This window comes from Homo sapiens, chromosome 4 (assembly GCF_000001405.40).
Source record: "Homo sapiens chromosome 4, GRCh38.p14 Primary Assembly".
NCBI lineage: Eukaryota > Metazoa > Chordata > Mammalia > Primates > Hominidae > Homo > Homo sapiens.
The window spans coordinates 124,246,716-124,265,657 of record NC_000004.12 but is presented as its reverse complement, the minus strand read 5'-3'; the positions used below and the strand labels follow the sequence as shown (position 1 = coordinate 124,265,657).

General features: G+C 33.7%; 2 long non-coding RNA genes across 4 annotated transcripts in view; one reads left to right on the top strand and one right to left on the bottom strand.

The window, feature by feature from the left end:
* LOC105377406 (uncharacterized) overlaps positions 1-18,942 on the bottom strand; it is a 129,167-nt gene that overhangs the window by 48,062 nt on the left and 62,163 nt on the right. The gene's annotated exons all lie outside the window — the stretch shown is intronic.
* Positions 13,478-18,942, top strand: part of LOC105377407 (uncharacterized) — a 218,744-nt gene continuing 213,279 nt past the window's right edge. The window contains exon 1 of the long non-coding RNA XR_939176.3: positions 13,478-13,666. This is a non-coding gene — a long non-coding RNA (uncharacterized LOC105377407). The remainder of the gene's footprint in view (positions 13,667-18,942) is intronic.

Below are 18,942 nucleotides of genomic sequence, written 5' to 3'. Positions count from 1 at the left end.
TAAATAACCCAATTAAAATATGAGTGATGGATCCAACAGACATCTCACTAAAGACATTACGTATGGCATATAAGCATAGGAAAAAATGTTCAACATCATCAGTCACTAAGGAATTGCAAATTAAAACCTCACTGAATTACCACTACATAACTATTAGAAGGGCTAATATCTAAAAAACTGATAATACCGAATACTGACTAGGATATGGGGCAACCAGAAATCTCACTCATTGCTGATGAAAGTTTATAGCAGCTTTCTTAATAATCACTGAAGAGTGTCAGCAACCAAGATGTTATTCAATAGGTGAGTGGATAAATAAACTGTGATACCCCCATAGAATAAAATGTTATTCGGGGATTTTAAAATGAGCTATCAAAATACAAAACAAAATGAAGGAAACTTAAATTCACATTGCTAAGTGAAAGAAGCATGTCTGAAAATATTATATACTGTTTGCCCAATAGTTGACATTCTGGAAAAGGCAAAATAATAGAGACATAAAAAAGATTAGAGGTTGCCAAGGATTCTAGAGGAAGGTTGAAGAGGTGAAACAGGAGATTTTTAGGGTGGTGTAACTATTCTGTATAATACTGTGATGTTGGATACATGATTTTATGCATTTATCAAAACCCAAAGAGCTTTACAGTACAAAGATTGAACATTAATGTATGCAAAGTAAAAAAAAAACAAATCATTTAGGGGGTTGGGGAGCCCAGATGGCATCCAGACTGTGATAAGAGAATATATTATAAATGTATGAAACAATCTGACTGAAGGGAATAGGAGCAAGAGATGTGGACCTAAGTATCTTTGGAAATGAAAGGTGTCTGTAAGATTTAAGGCAGAAGGAAATGGGCATAAGCACTCCATTCTAGCTGACAACCTTTTTTCTGTGGAGATATAGGTTAACAGCTCTAATACTGGTACATATGCTCCTGGAATTGAACAGTTAACCAAAGGGATAGCAGGTCATGAGAGCCAGATTTTTCACTGTTGAAGTGGGAATTTACAGATAAGCAAGGGTAGGAGGCTAGGATAATCCACATGGTTATAAATTAGTTTGAGACATCAGTATATACTCATATTTAGCTTAATATAGATACCGACGGACATTGCCTTAGTCCATGTGAGTTGCCTATAACAAAATACAATAAACTGGGTGGCTTATAGGTAACGGAAATTTCTCTCACAGTTTGGGAGGCTGGGAAATCTAAGATTAAGGCACTAGTATGGCCAGGTTATGGATGAGAGCCCTTTTCCCAGATGCAGACATCTCACTATGTCCTCACGTGGTGAAAGGGGCAAGGCAGCTCTCTCGGGGCCCTCTTTTACAAGGTCATTAATTCCATTCATGAGGGCTCTGTTCTCACAATCTAATCAGCTCCCAAAGGCCCCACCCTCTAATACCATCACTGTGGTGATTAGTATTTAACATATGAATATGCGGAGGGAAACATTCAGACCATAGCAGCTACATATAAATATAACACATTTGTATACACACATGATCTTTCTTGCTTTGTTGGCTGAAAGGCTTAGAAGCAATGACGCCCAGTGGCAAAGACCACACCTAATAGCCCAAGGTCTGAGCTGAGCTGCTTGCCCATCACTCCAACAGAGCCATTGCCGCCTTTCCTGCCTTGCTTTCCTTAAGCTACCTGGTTAATGTTTACAATACAGCAATAAAAATAAAATGGCTTTGTGTTCCTCCTCCCTAACAAAACTTGATATTAAAGTGAAATTTTCAGTATTTCATCCAAAGATATTCTGGGACTTTTATCCACTAAGATATCAATGATGGAATCACTAGTTTTGAGCTGGATAAAAGAATGAAGTTCTCAATATCTTTAAATCATACTACTTCCAAATTTTATAGATCTTACTTTGGTTTCAGGATAAATTTGATAAAATACACTACATATCAAATGTTGGGCCAGACATAAATATTGAATAATAAGTATAATATTTTAAAATGAAATCGCAACATAGTAGGAGGAATGATAGCACTACTACCTATATTTTATTAAACTCGCTATGTTTATTAGTATATACTTATATATTTACACATGACTTCAAAAAATAAGCAAGTAAAGAAATCTATGCAGTAATAATTATCCAGAAGCAACTTTTGCAGTGCTAGTACTAGCATTCCATTTTCATTGTTAGAGTGAACTTATTACATACACAATCACTCTAAATTCTTGCACAAATTCTATTCTTATAATTATTCATACTATTTATTTTTTAAATAATTAAAACCAAGCACTTATGGCCTTAATACTCACAAGCCCTGTATAATATAGTGCCATTATTTCCATCTCCAATTTACTGATTAAGGCATTAGTGTGATTACATGATGATCACATGGTTTATCAATGGTAGAAATGGCATTAAAACACACATCTAATGTCAAAGCCCAGGAATTTTACCTTTCCTCCATGCTGTCACCATAACTTATAACCAGTGTCTTTAGTAATTAGTGTTCTGATATACAGAGGAAGAAAGGAAGAAAGGAAAGAAGAAAGAAAGAAGAAAGAGAAAGAAAGGAAGGAAAGAAAGAAAGAAAGAAGAAAGAAAAAGAAAGAAAGAAAGAAGAAAGAAAAAGAAAGAAAGAGAAAGAAAGGGAAAGAAAGAATAAAGGGAAGGAAAAGAGAAAGAGGAGGGAAGGAAGGAAGGAAAGGAAGGAAGGAAAGGGAAAAGAAAGAGAGAAAGAGGGAGGAAAGGGGAAGCAGGGCAGAAAGAAGGAGGAAGAAAGGAATAAGAGAAGGAAAGAAACTTATTTGTATGTGTTGTTTTTCATATTACTCCCTGCTATCTGGTTTTTTACAAATGTGAATTGTTTGTAATAATGCGTTCAGCAGAGGTGAACTTTCGCCTAGTTCCATTTGAATAAACACAAATGCTATATTTTATTCCTGGATTCACCACTGACTCATTGCATTTAATTGGATAAAGGCACTTCAATTTTGGGAGCCTCAAATTTGACTTCAATAAAATAAGGAGGTTGTACTGTATCTAATGTCTGAGGTCACCTCACATTTTAAAAAGTTGAAGTTCATTCTAACTCTATATAGACTTAGGTTTCTCCTTTAGTGGATATGATACATCATTGAATTGAGATCATCTGATGGGGAAAATTTTGAGGTTATTACTCTTCTAGCATTAAGTCTCCGTGTACTTTTGCAAGGAGTCTCGCAGTGCCTCCAGATTCCATCTGCGTCCCTATTGATGCAAGATGCAGGGACCAGGAGAGGGCAGTAGAACTCTACCAATGAAAACGAAATGCTTGCGCTAGCACTGCACAAGTGGCTTCTGGATAATTATTATTGCACAAATTTCTTTACTTGCTTATTTTTTTAAAAAGTCATGTGTAAGCATATAGATATATGTGTCCTCAGTGAGTAGAAATTAGTTATGATGATTATTATAAATATTTGCTACATCAAATATTTATAATATAATCATAGCTAATTTCTAATTACTAAAATAGTAATTAGAAAAATAGAAATTAATAGTAAAATAGAAATTAAAATACTAATAACTAAAAACAAAAATTAAAAATATTTATCCAACTTGCTGTTGTAGAACTCTATAAAAATGAGTTCCTTTTTAAAGAAATCAAATTATTTCAGTTACGAGATAATAAAATTGATTGTTTTCATCAAATAAGGAAATAAGAATGTTCATAATTGTAAAAGAAATAAAATTCAAAACTACATTACCTCTTGCTAGGAATTTTTTTTAAGTTTTTCTATTATTTTATATCATCTGTGAAGAACAAAAATTAATGAGGGAGCAAAAATAAACCATCTTAGGGCTATATCTCAGAGAACTAGTTAACTCTGTAATGGTGTCGCGTGTAAATTTGGGGAAATAATTTTTTTATTTAATTTTATTTTTTATTTTACAGCCTTATTGAGATATAATTTACATACAATAAAATCTAAACATTTTCAATAATTGTATTCACCCAAGTAAAAAGTTATGGGCTGTTTCTATCACCCCAGAATGTTCCTACCTGCTCCTTTACAAAATAGATTTATAGTTCTGAAATTTTATATAGATGGAATTATACGATGCATACTCTTTTGTGACTGGTTTCTTTTGCTATTTATATATGTCGTATCGTGTTGAGTTAGTACCTACGTATGACTGAAGAAAATTTCTTTATATAAATATACCACAATTGGTTTATCCATTCACCTGTTGTTTAATATTTGGACTGTTTCAGTTTGAGGTATTATGAATCAAGGTGCTAGGAGTATTTATGCCAGGATCATTTATTTTGGTTGGACATAGATTTTCATATCTTTTGGATAAATACCTAGAAGTGGAATCACTGGGTCTTGTTGAAAGAGCTCATCAACTGTGTTAGAAACTGCCTGGTTGTGTTATATAAGTACTTGTACCACTTTTCATCCCCACCAGCAGTGCATTAGAATTCCAGTTGCCCCACATTCTCACAGACACTTGGTATTGACAGTTATTTTATTTTTAGCCATTCTAGAATGTGTTAGTGGCATTTCATCATGTAACGAAATTACACTGATTTCATTGTAGTTCTTTGACTAATGATGCTATATAACTTTTCATTTTGGCTATTTGTTTACCTTCTTTTGTGAAGTGTTTCTTCAAGTCATTTGCATAGTTTTTTTTTTTTAATTTGGGCTACTTGTGTTTTTATTGAACTGTAGGAGTTCATTATGTATTGTGTATACATGCTCACACGTAAGTATTGTGAATTTTAAAATATATATTTCAGATACAAGTTCTTTGTAATGAATACTTTCTCCCTATCTGATATCATAACTTTCCATTTTCTTAAAACCATCTTTATAAGAACATGAATTAATATATTTGGTACAGTACACATCATAAAATTTTTCTTTTTTGGTTCTTGATCTTTGGTGGTCTGATCTAAAAAATCTGCTTAGTCTATTGTCATAAATATTTCTTCCTATGTTTTCTTTTTGAAGATTTAGACTTTGGGGTATTAACATTTAGTACCGTGAACTATTTTGAATTAATTTTTGTGTAGGCTGTGAAGTAACAGCTGAAGTGTATTTTTCTCCATATGGATAGCCCGTCGTTCTAAAACCATCTGTTGAAAAGATTGTTCTTTCTCCTTCAATTATTGTGGCACCTTGTCAAAAAAAATCAATAGATTCCGTGTTGGTCTATTTCGGCCCTATCTATTTTGTTCCAGTGATCTTTATTTTTATCCTTATACCAACATGAAGCTGTCTTAATTATGTAGCTTTATAGCAGAGGTTCTTACCCGGGGGAGATTTAGACTCCAGGGAATATTTGGCAATGCCTGGAAACATTTTTAGTTATCACAATTAGAGGGTGTGGCGGATACTACTGGCATCTAGTGGATAGAGGCCAATGATGCTGCCCACCATCCTGCAATGCACAGGGTAGTTCCCACAAGAAAGAATGATCTAGCCCTAACATCAATAGTGTCTAGGTTGAGAAACCCTGATTCATAGGAACTTTTAAAATCAGTTAGTGCAAAGTCTCCAACATTGTTCATTTTCAAAATTCTTTTGGCTGTTTTAGGCTTATTGCATTTTCATATAAATTTAAATCAACTTGTGCATTTCCAAAAAAGAAAAAGAAAACAAAGTGAAATTTAAATAGAGATTTTGTTAAATCTGTAGATCAGTTTAGGCAGAACTGACATACTAATCAGATGGAATCTTCAATCAAAGAACATGATGTCTGTGTGTGTGTGTGTGTGTATGTGTGTGTGTGTGTGTAAAGAATACATATATATGTATATATACATATGGAGAGATACATCATTCTTTGGTTGAGATAAATTAAAGAGGTATATATACACTTTAATTTATCTCAACCAAATAAATTTAGCTTGTAATGTACAAGCTTTACAGATATTTTATTAAATGATACTAAATATTTCAACTTTTCCATGCTACTTAGGGCATATTTTCTTTTACATTATTTCATTCATAAATAGTTACAATATTCCTACAGAGTAAAATACAATTCCCTTTTTGGATTGACCTTGTATCATTTGACTATACTAAATTCACTTTTTGTTTCTGAAAAATTTTAAGTATAGTTCTCAGGTTTTAAAATGTTTTCTGAATATCAAGATTGGATATTTTTTCAATCTCTTCATTTATTGTTTCTTTCCCTTGCTATATACTACATTAGCTAAAGCCCCTCATTCCTATTGATCATGAATAGAACTGATTATCTTATTCTTGAGCTTAGGAGAAAACACTTGATATTTCACCATGAAATATGACATTAGCTGTAATTTTTCCATAAATATGATAAATTATAATGATTTATTTCAGAATGTTAGACCAAATATGCATCTCTGGGTCACAATGTGTTATCATTTTTACATAGTATTAAATTTAGTTTTCTAAAATATTGTTAAGGGCTTTGTGTCTATGTTTATGAGATCTGCAGTTTTCCTGTAATGTTTTGGTCTGCCCTGGCATCAAGATAATGCTAGCTTCAAAAAAATTAGTTACAAGTATTTTATTTTCCTTTGTTTTTGCATGGGTTTGTGTAAGATTGGTAGTATTTCTTCCTGAAATGTCTATTAGAATTCAACAGTGAAGTCATCCTGGTCTGGAGTTTTCCTTGTAGGAGGGTGTTACTTGTGAATTTGATCGCATACATATACTATTTAGATTTTCTACTGCTTATTTATATGTTTGATTATTTTAATCTTTTATTTGTCCATTTCAAGTTATAAAATTTATTGGGATAAATGTTTTCATAATTTTCTGTGACAAAGAGTTTGACTTTATGTTTTTTAATTTGAGTGCTGACAACTTTTAAACCTCACCTCTCTATCTTTCCTTTATGTCTCCCATCTGGGAGAAAACCAATATGAAGGCCTTTATGCCCTCTCTTTTGATACCAAAGAGAGTTCCAAATCATGCAAACCCCTGCCTGCACAAGGGAATCCCAGCCCCATCCACAACCACAATAAAAACTCCAAGTCAACCTCCTTTTCCTGATCAATGAAACCATTTTCAGATAACTTGGATGCCTGCTGTGATCTCCCCCAAAAGCCTTGTTATATATAAGCAATAAGCATTTTCATAACTTCTTGGTGTATATGTTGGCAAAATCAGTCTTGATATCCAAAAAACATTTTGTGGAATGATGTGTCCTGATTCTGAAGAGTGGTTATAATACATTTACTGACTATTTTTAATGCCTATTGAATTTCTAATGATGTCCAGTTTTTCTTTTTTTACTCCTGGGCTCAAGTGATCCTCCCACCTCAGCCTCCCGAGTAGCTGAGACACAGGTGTGGACCACTGCAGCTGGCAGATGTCATTTTAAAAATCCTCACACTGATAATTCTTCTTAATTGGTCTACCCAGAGATTTATCAATTTTATTGCTCTTTGTAAAAGACAACTTTTGGGATTTATTTTCTGTATTAATTGCCTTTTTATGAGTTAACTGCCCACCTTTTTCTTTTATTATTTCCTGCATTTTTTTTTACTTTGAGTTTACATTGTACTTTCTTTTTTTTCACTATTTAAGAAGTAATCTTAATCTTTAATTTTAGGTTTTTCTCTTTTCTGACAAAAGCAATTATAGTATTATAGTTCCTCTATGTTCTGCATTAGCATTATCTCACAGATTTGATTATATTGCATATTAAATTCATTCCATTCAAAATATTTTCTAATTAACTGTAAAATTTTAGAGCCATGGGTAGGTAAGTCAGAAGTTAAACAGGAACAGCTGTTTAATTTTAAAATATTTGAATATTTCCAATATAGGTTTCAAAATATTTTGTTACAAAAATATGTTTAATACTATTTAAATTTATTGAGAACTTTTTATGCCCCTTCATATGGCCTGTCTAGGTAAATGTTCCAGATGCACTTGAAAAGCATGTGTACTCATCTCTTGTTAATTAAGTATTTTATATATCTCAACTAGTTCCAGGTGGTTGATAGTACTGTTTAAATCTCCTGTATCTTCACTGATTTTTCGTCTACATGCTCATCAGCTGCTGAGAGGAGAGTGTTGAAATCTCCAACCATAATTGTGGATCCTTCTATATGCCCTTTCATTTATGTCTAAATACATTTTTTCTTTCATGTATTTTGAAGCTCTGCTATTGGGTTCATGTCTTTTTAAGACTGTTGGTTTGTCTTGATGAACTGAACTTTTTATCATCATGAAATATATCTCTTTGTGTCAGGTACTTCTTATCCTGAAACCCACAGTGTCGGATATAATATAACTACTTCACCTTTGTATGTCTAGTGTATGTATGTCTCTTTTTTTTTTTAACCAGGCTTTTACTTTTAACCTATCTGAGTCTTTAAACAATATTTCAAATATGTTTCTTATAGATGGTGTATAGTTATATCTTGTATTTTTATAACCAGCTAAAAATTTCTGCCTTATAATTTCAGAATTAAGACCATTTATGCTTAATATAATTACTAATATGATTGGGATTAACCATACTATTTTGCTGCTGCTTTTTCACTTATCATATACATTATTTTTTTCTTTTTCTTTTTCTATTTTTCTGAGTACTTTCGGATTGAGTGTTTTTAGTTTTCTCTTTTATCTTCTCTATTGAGTCATTAGCTACGATGTTTTATTATCTTAGTGATTACTCTAGAATTTATAATATTAATCTTTAACTTGGTAGTCCATCTTCAAATTATGTTTTATTCTTTCATCTATAATGTGGAAACTTCCAACAGTATTCATAAATCATTTCTTTCCTTTATGCTAATGTTGTCATAAACCTTTATAGCTATATAATTTATAAAATCCACAATACATTACATTCATTTTTGCTTTATGGAGTCAATTGTTTTTTAACAATTTTAAAATAAAACCCTTGCTGTATTTATCATTTGGATATTTTTATTTCCTTTTGTAGATTAGAGTTTTTGTATGATATGCTTCTCCTTCAACCTTATATTACAGGCAGTTTTGTTACTTGTGGATCTGCTTGAGGCTAAGATTCAATGTTAGGCTTTATTAGGGCATATCTGGAACAGCCTTTACTCCAGAACTAATTTAGCATCAAATTGTAACCATTGGGGGCTGTCTGCTGAACACCCTGTGTATTTAACTAGCTTTTTCTACTCAACTCAATAATCACTCAGTCCTTTGAAAGCCATTGTAATTATTGCACTTAGAGTTTTCTGGTAGTTGTTCTTTCCCTGCTAGTTGTTTTTTTGCCTGGCTTCATGGTGTCTCATATGACAAAACGCTGCTTAGAATTTAGCCAAGGCTTCAAGGAGAAACTTACAGATTTTTTGAACTCTCTTTTCCATAATCACCTACTCTGTGTTACTCTCTCCTAGCAACACCCACCAATGCAACCTCCCTGAATGCCAGTCACTGTCTCCTCAACTCACTGAGAGTGACGTGCTCTGCTTGGTTTGCCCTCCACTACAATATGGTTATAGGTGCCCCCAGGGGGAAATATAAGGAAAACATGGCTCTCTTTTTTTCTTCCCCTTTTCTCAAGGATAACAGTCCTGCTCTTCATATTGTCCATTATCAAAATATGGTTGTTTCATATATTTTGTCCACCCGTATTTCAACATAGGCATTAGGAGGTGGGACCTTTGAGGGGTCATGAGTGTAGAACCTTCATGAATGGGATTAATGCCCTTATAAGAGAGACCCCAATGAGCCTCTCACCCTTTTTCTACGATATGAGGACACTACAAGAAGTGGGTACTCTGCAGCCCAGAAGATCACCCTCACCAGAACTTGACCATGCTGGCACCTGATCATGGCACTTCCACCCTCCAGAACTCTGAGAAATAAATTTCATTGTTTATGAGCCATCCAGTCTATGGTAATTTGTTATAGCAGCTGGAACTGATGAAGACAGGATTATCCAAAATATCTGTTCTATACATGGACATTTAAACTTGATAAACACAATTGTGAGCTTCTTTTTCATTGATTAAAATAATAAAGTTTTTTTATTTAAAAAGTTACGTTGATGCTAAGATGAATGGAAAGTTATAAGCTTTCATAATCAATAATGAACTAATCTGGTGCTTTCATCTAGCAATTGAGATTGTACTACATGTAGAACCTTCATATTTAAAAGTAGTTTTAACTGCTTCAATTAGTTCAGGCTACAGATATTCTGAGGCAAATAAAAAACCTTGGATATTGCATCAAGATATAGGATATCATCAGTATATGCCTTTGCTTTTTGCATGTATATAATATCTTAGGCTATTGTAGGAATATCAGGTAAAAAAACTTGGGAAAAATTAAAGCTTATAATAATCTGAAAAGACTTATCTGGATTCTTATAAACTGTTTCCCACTTTTTCTGTCTTTTGTCTGTGGAGCCTCTGAGATCAGAGCCCCTTCTTTGGTTGCTTCTTGAATTATACATAGTGTAGGTATACTGATGTCCAGATCAGCTATAATATGAAACTTCTAAAAATAACTCCTGTGCAGTAAATTTTATCTGGTAATTCTATTTGAAAAGTAGACTCCTACCTATTTATTACATTTGCAGGGTTTGTGTAAGGGAAAAAATTGTGTTGTTCTCATAATAGCAATCTCAAAGTAATAATTGTATGTTGGCAGAAAAGGATTTAGAATTGTAAAAATTTTCAGTATTTGAATGGTTTATGTAAACCAAGGCAAAGAATGTTTACTTCTCCTGAAGGGTTTTACCTGTTACTCTACACATTCAAAGCTTTCTTTTACTATCTTCTGGGCCAAGCATACATTTTTACTTTAAGCAAAACTATATTTTGTTCCATTTTATTATTACTACACCATTACTATTACGGTTGTTTATGAGCCATCCAAAGTCAATTTGCTTAATTTCATGAGTTTTAGATAATTTGAAAGTTTAGTTTTGAGGACTCTAATGTTCTGTGGTAGTTGGATTAATAAAATATTTAACACCCATATTAATGAGAAAGATGTATTAATGTCCATCTCAATTTACAGATATTTCCCCTTGGGAGTTTAGAAGAAAACAGAATTGTGGAACACTAGTCTCTCCCTTGGAGTGAAATCATAGGGCAGCGTTTGGATAGTCACCCACCACTTCTTAGCAAGTGTGGAACGTTCTTTCTTCTAACAGTACTTCTTTTGTCATTTCTACTTGTGTCTCTTCCTAGGTTCTCAATTCTAAGGATCAGAGAATCTTTTGGTTTTATTTTTGTTTTGGGAGCTGGTGGTTCTATCTAGCTGGTAGCCATAATTGATTTTAATTTTTAGCTTGTTTACTTTACCTGTGGCTCATTGAAAATGTCAGCAAATGCTGGAGTGCATCTAGCAGTTTCCTACTATAATTTTAGATGTAAACCTTGTTATTAAAAAAAAAAGAAAACAGAAAAAAAACCCTCCATTTACTTTGTTTCTTCTATCTACTTCAGAATATTATCTGAAAATGTATCATCTAATTGTAAAATCTCCTCTGATTCAGCTCTATTTTGTTTATAACTTTGGATCTTTGTCCAATTTACTTTAAGGGAGAGAATTCTGAAATGGCCTTATATATGAAATATATTTTAAATATTTTTTTTTTGCTCTTTCAAGAATATTTTTAAAATCATGCACAGCTGTGTTACTAAAATTTCTTCCTAGTGTTTTTCATCTTATTAATTCTTATTATATTTCCTTATCTGAGAGGATGACTGTTAACTTGCTGATACATAGCTGGTGGCACCTAAAGCAATTCTGATTTTTTTTTTTCAGAAAATTTCTGCCTAAATTCCTGAGGTTCAAAAGGAAAACTTAATTTATGAACTCCAAATTGGTTCTAGATCAAAGTTTATATTCAGCTTCTATAGATGAGCCTTCTGGTCTTATAATTTCAAGGGCATATTGTGCAATGCAATTGTTCTTTTTCTGAGAAAAAAATGCTGAGGAAAAGATAGCACATGTGAACAGTTAGAATAAGAAGCAAAAGGATGTAAGCATAGAGAAGAAATTCAAGGAAAGTATATTTCAGAAGATTTGAGCAGGAATGAACTAGAGAGTTTTTTAAACAAGCTATTCTGGAGTCAATGTTTGGTTTTGTGGCTTTGGATATTAATTAAAATACTGATAATTGCATATTTAATATTATTAATTTTTTCTTTTTCTGAATTTCTTAAAAATGTAATTATGAAATATTAAAATTATTCAAAATGATAAATTAAAAATTTTTTAAAACATTCACCAAAGAAGACACAACAGCTGTGAATATAATACAAATTTATGAAAGATTCACAGATTTTGCCAGGAAGATGTTGCAGTTTTGATTTGGACAAACCCATAATAAACAAAAAAGAACCTCTAAAATCTGTTACATCTGTGTTTTTATAAATGATGTTCTGCATTACCCAACCCAAGCCAAGGCCAGGAAGAGGTGGTGCAACAATGACCCAATAATCACTGGCCTGGAAATGTGAAGTAGAGTGACCTTGTACACAAATTGACATGACAGCAAGTCTCTTCATGATTTTGGAGGTGAGCCAAGACACAATTTGATCAAACATCTCAGTATAAATTACCTGTAGCATAATGGGGCTGCAACAGTGATACTTTTAGGCTGGTTTGGACTACATTGGAGGTTTATCCAACTGATACCTCCATCCATTTTCTAGGAACCACTCCCTGACTCAAGTCACCAGAAACAAGACAATCCATATAAAGCCATGACACAAATCTTTCTCACTAAGAGAAAGACAAAAATAAAAAGCAAGCCAAGTCGCTGAAGTCAGCATGTTAGTGGCAAAAATATTTAACAAATAGTGCACCACCAAACCAAAGCATCTAATATACTAATACTACTTAGCAACAAATTATAACAACATAAATTTTGTAATAAGAGCTCAATGAAATAAGTTAGAGTTGAGATCATGTTGAACCAGTTGCACCTGGCAGGAAATCTGAAGGACAAAGGAAACTGGCGTACAAAAGGGCTGGGTAGATTTATTGGTCAAAGATACTATATTACCCTGTTGGAGAAAACTACATTGTTAAAAAAAAAAAAAGAGAGACCTCTATTCAAAACTCAAATCAATAAGCTTGATTTATTGCTGATGGAAGTGAAAAAAAAAAAAAGAGCTACGTTGATCAGATGAAGCCTCACTGAGCATTGCAAACTACTAATTTTACATAGGGTGCTGGGGAAGAGCTTGAGATTGATTCAGGTTGTGTTTATATGGGAGCAAGAATGGATTGATATCAGCTGTAGAATCATATTTTGTGTTAATTGTAGAGGCAGGGTGGGTTGTCAATCTTAGAAGCCTAGTTTATTATTTTTCAAAATAGTTGTTCCATGTCAGCCTTAGAAACATGTTCGCTGGAGTGAGTTGACTGTCAGTGGGGTGACTTTCAAGGCATGAGTTAGTACTAACTGACTGGTCTTCAGGGACATGTTCACTGAAGCAAATTGTCATTGCTCAATTGGACAGATTTAAATCTAGTTCTGAGTTTTACTTGTTACCTTGGCTATGGAACATTGGTTGATTAGACAGGTATAAAACAAGTCCTGGTAGTTATTTTCCCCATAGCAATAACATAATTTGTCTTTTGTTAACATTTTTTGAAAATGTCAACATTATACATAAAAACCCATCCAATTTTTGTATTTCTACAGGTCCCAGATAATAATTAGGAAAACAAATCAGGACCGAAACTCCAGAGAGGTAAGAATAAGAATCAGTAATAGAATTGAATACTTATATATCAGGCAGTGTTCTAAACACTGTACATGTATTACCTAATGCAATTCTCATAGAAACCCTAAGAGATAGCTATTAGCAACATTTTTCTACATGTGATATGACTGGACCACAGAAAAGCTAAACAATTTGAACAGGTTCTCATAGCCATAAATGGTAGAAGTCAGGATTCAAACTTGGAAGGTTTAAAACCAGAGCCTCTTTTCTTATCCACTTGAGAATAGGGACTATTTTAGTTCGTGACGCAAACTAAAGAGGTAGTCTCTCCTCTTTTTCCCAATCTCTCTCTCACACATACAAACACACACACACACCCATGCATGCACAAAGGCCCCTTAATTGTTAAGGTAATTAAAATATCAAAGTCACTCAATATTATGGCTAAAATCTATATATTCACTACTCATATGAGACAAGTATTTAATCATAGTAATATCAACTTTTAATAAAATATTTACTTAATGAATATTGTGTTTCAGATGTTCCATTAGGTACTTTATGTATACTACTCCAATTCTCTATACCTTTAGGAGTTAAATATTATAATAACCATGTTTGTTCATGAAATGAACTATAGATAACTTGGCCAAAGCCATCCATAGCTCGAAAAAGGAAAACCCAGATTTACTATGTTTTGTCATTCATCACTTGGCTGTATGCTCAGCGGGAACCAGGGTGGTTTCTATCTTGTTTAATGCTTTATCCCCAGAATCCAGCATATATGTTCTTCCACAGTAGTACCCCATACTATAAAAATAGTATGTTCTCAATTAACAAAGATTAAATGAATAAAAGTGTCCCAAACTCTTGTTTTTCACTAATTACTAATGTTGTTTTCACTAATTTCACTAATTACTGATTCTATGAATAGGATAATGATTATGAAGAAAAATGCAAAAGTACAATCTCTTGAGCTGAAGAAAAAAATACAGAGTAAACATGCTCCTCATAAGAATACTGTCTAAATCGAATGACCAACAAGACTGATTTGATGTTTGGTTGCAGAGATACTAGTCAAGTTTATTTTAATTCTTCCATTGTATTTTATTTATGTAAAAATATAATAATTCAATGGCTCCTCCTTGCATATAGAATCCAGTTTCCCCTGCAGCATGGCTTCTAGCCTGGCCTTTCTAACTTTGTACCTCTAGCACTACAGCAGTCCTCTAATTCCTAGAATGCACTGATATATTTGTGCATGTGATTTTTCCTTCTGAGATACTCTCCTCCACATTCCTCTCAGATCTCTCCTTCCCATCCTGCAGATTACATGCTAAATATTCTCCCATTTGTCATGTATTTTTAAAATAGACTTTATTTTTTAGAGCAGTTTTAAGTTCATAGCCAAACTGAGATTTCCCATATACTCCCTGCCCCCACACATGCCTAGCCTCCCTCATTACCAACATCCTTCACCAGAGTGGAACAATTATTATGGATGATGAACCTACACTGACACATCCTTGTCACCGAAGGACCATTGTTTACCTTAAGGTTCATCCTGGTGTACATCCCATGAGTAAGTCATTTTTCCCACTTCATTTTACACCTTGTTATTTCTTCTAATTATTTCTCCTCCTCCCGCTCCTTCTTTCAGTTTTCACTTCTGAGATGTTTGCTGCACTTAATACTGGATTGAGTAAATTTATTATATACATTATTGAGTTGAATAAATGAAGAAGACTAGAGCTATATACTATAAATCTGAGAGATGTCAGTACCTATAAGTAAGACTAAATGGCCCTAATTGAGTTGATTGGAAGAATTCAGGAGACAGGGAGGCAAGAATTCAGTCTCATCTTTTTATAGGATTAGTAAGAAATAAAATAAAATGGTAAAAATATTGCTGTATTGGTATTGTCTACCTTCAATTGGATTTCAATATTACAAATTAGTTTTTTAAGATGCAAATTTACTGATTTATCTTTGCTGGTCAAAATCTATTAGCCACCCTTAGCTCTAAGATAGAGGTTTTTGGTGTTTATTTGTTTGTTTTTGAGCTTAAACAACAGGAATTTATTCTCTCACAGTTCTGAGGACTAAAAGCTAAAATAAAGTTTTAATTTCTTAACTCATGTAGAAGCTTTTCCTATTTGATCTTTATCCTCTCCCTCAACATGCATATTGTCATTCATTTTTTGTATTTAAACAATATCAGGCAGCACAGAGTTATTTGGGCTAAATAAACGTGCTCACTTTTCAGTAGAGTTAATTTTGCATGGAAGCTTCTTCAATGAATGCTCAGTTACTAAATGATTCATTTGTTAAATCACTCCTAATATTATTCCCCTGCTGATAAACCCACTCCTACATTAATAATCTTTTAAGCAGATCTTCATTGTACTATCATTGTTGATTTCCATGCCTCTTTCTGCTGCAAACTCCCTGAGTGGATTGGTGTGTGTGTGTGTGTGTGTATGCATTCTCAGCTCTTGCTATGATAATCTGACAGTCTCTAGGCGTACAATAAATACATTTTTATACATGGGTGAATTTAGATATTTCATAATTACATATTTGTTTTGTTCTGATGAACTTATTTTTCTTAGCGTATTGATCTTAAGCTTCCACAGATTAATAACTGACAAATAACCTTGATTTAAAATAACTCATACATTTTGAAAATTAGTCGATTGGGATTTTTCATTGTATGTACTATATACCTATTTATCTATAAATTGAATGGTTTTAATCTTTCAGTAAATATTTACCTATAATTATATCTCATGCACAACCATCTGTAACAATATTTACATATTATTTCACTACATTTAAATATAGAACTAGCACACACCTATGGTCCCTGCTACCTGGGAGGCTGAAGTGTGAGGATCGCTTAAACCCAGATGGTCAAGGCTTCAGTGACCCATGATTGCACCACAGCACTCTATCCTGGGTGACAGGGTGAGACCTTGTCTCAAAAATTAAACTGGATAAAGAAAATGTGGTACATATACACAGTGGAATAATTTGCAGCCATCAAAAATAATGAGATCATGACCTTTACAGAAACATGGGTGGACCTGGAGTCCATTATCCTTAGCAAACTGATGCAGGAACAGAAAACCAAATACTGCATGTTCTCATCTATAAGTGGGAGCTAAATGATGAGAACACATGGACACACAGAGGGGAACAACACACAGTGGGGCTTATCAGAGGGTGAAGTGAGGGAGGGGGAGGAGGGAGAGGATAAGAAAAATTAACTAATGGGTACTAGGCTTAATACCTGGGTGCTGAAAACATCTGTATAAGAAACCCTCATGACACAAGTTTACCTATAAAACAAACCTGCACATGTTCCCCTGAACTTAAAATAGAAGTTAAAAATATATACCTTTATATACACATATATTCACACATACATATGCACGAATACACACATATACATATATAACTTAATATTTCAAAGTATTAAATTCTACATATACATTCAGCCATAAGCTGTGGCCCTTCTCATCAGGCATTTGCACCTGCTCTTTCCACGTTTTAAACAGCGTCTTCATGTCTAAGATTGGTAATAAAAACTTTCTTATACTTCAGATAAAAGCTTAAGTTTTTTCTTAACTTGCCTGACTAGTCAAATCCTTAAGGCACTTTATGCCACCTTTGCATATTATTGTACCAGTTGCACTTTTACATGCTTATTTGATTAATATCTCCTCAAAACTGTGTAATCTTTGTGGTGGCGATGTACAGTGAGACATTAAGCTGGAACCACATTTCCCAGAATCCCCTTTGCTGAATGTGACCAGAATATGACTGACTATTAGAAAAAAATTTGTGTGAGATTTGGAATACCCAAGTAAAGCAGAAATCATTTTCTCTGAAGATTGATATAGGACCAGGCACCTTTGTAGCACAGACACATTACTGCTGATCTGCTAGCTTATCCTGTTGACATGGGGAGCAGCCAGCGTTTCAACTCTCCAAACCCGGGGCCAGGTGTATCTCCATGGTCAGTGGTACCAGAAGCTCTTTCAGGTTCATGATGTAGCCCAATTTGGAAGCAATGAGAAATAGATAAGTGTGGGAGTTTGGTAAGAAGTCTATACGAGATCTGATCCGTAGAATAGTTCTTTATAGTTCTTTATTGTATATCATTAATAGTATTTTTTTTTTTTTTTTTTTACATGGAGCCTTGCTCTGTCACCAGGCTGGAGTGCAGTGGCACAATCTTGGCTCACTCCAACTTCCAAGTCCCTGGTTCAAGCGATTCTTCTGCCTCAGCCTCTCAAGTAGCTGGGATTACAGGCATGCGCCACCACACCCGGCTAATTTTTGTGTTTTTACTAGAGATGTGGTTTCACCATGTTGGCCAGGATGGTCTCGATTTCCTGACCTCCTGATCCGCCCACCTCAGCCTCCCAAAGCTTTTTTTTTTTTTAATTGAAACCTAATGCACCTATTCAATTTGAGGAGCCTGACCCATTTTGATCACTGGTGAACTCACAGGACTTTGCACAGTTTCCTGCATACAGTACCTGTTCAATAAATATTTTTGCTGCAATAAACAAATTCATACTTTCTCCTCTCTAGTATTTGTAATGGGCACTGAGTAAATACTGTCAATCCCATTTAACTAGCTCTATTTCAGTCAAGATCATCTCATGCTTCTGGAACCTGATTATTGAAAGTCAATGGAACAAGAGTAGAAGGGATACTGGAGATGAGGGATGGTGTGACCACAAGATCAATGTCTCCTTTCTCCTTGATTGAATTGCCTCAATTTCCATCTGACTCTAATGACATTGACATTTCAGTTACCCTTTTGAAGCTGATTTATCTTTAAATGTAAATTGACTATACTATACAATGACTGTGTAGGATAGAATTGGGCATGCTGTTAAACAAGTTAAATTTGTTCATGAAATGCAACTTTGAAAGTGAGATGTGTATTTTAATGAATGACAGGGCTTAGGATGAACTTTATGCTGAATATGTAATGTGAATCTATGGCATTTTTCTTTTTGAAAAACACAGAAAGAACTTGAGTAGTCATTTTCTTTGAAATTAATGCCGTGGTGAACATTATCATTTTCATCACCACAAACACTTAAATCAAATTAGAAATGAGAAATAAACTTTACCCATTGTATTTCTAATTGAGTTTAAAACATTGAAACTGGAAGCATAGTTTGAAGCACATAAATACAGGTATCAAGTGGAATGTCTAAGCATTTTCTGTCTTTGGCTGATGTAAGTATGCATTTTGGTATCTAAAAGAAAAAAATAGCAGA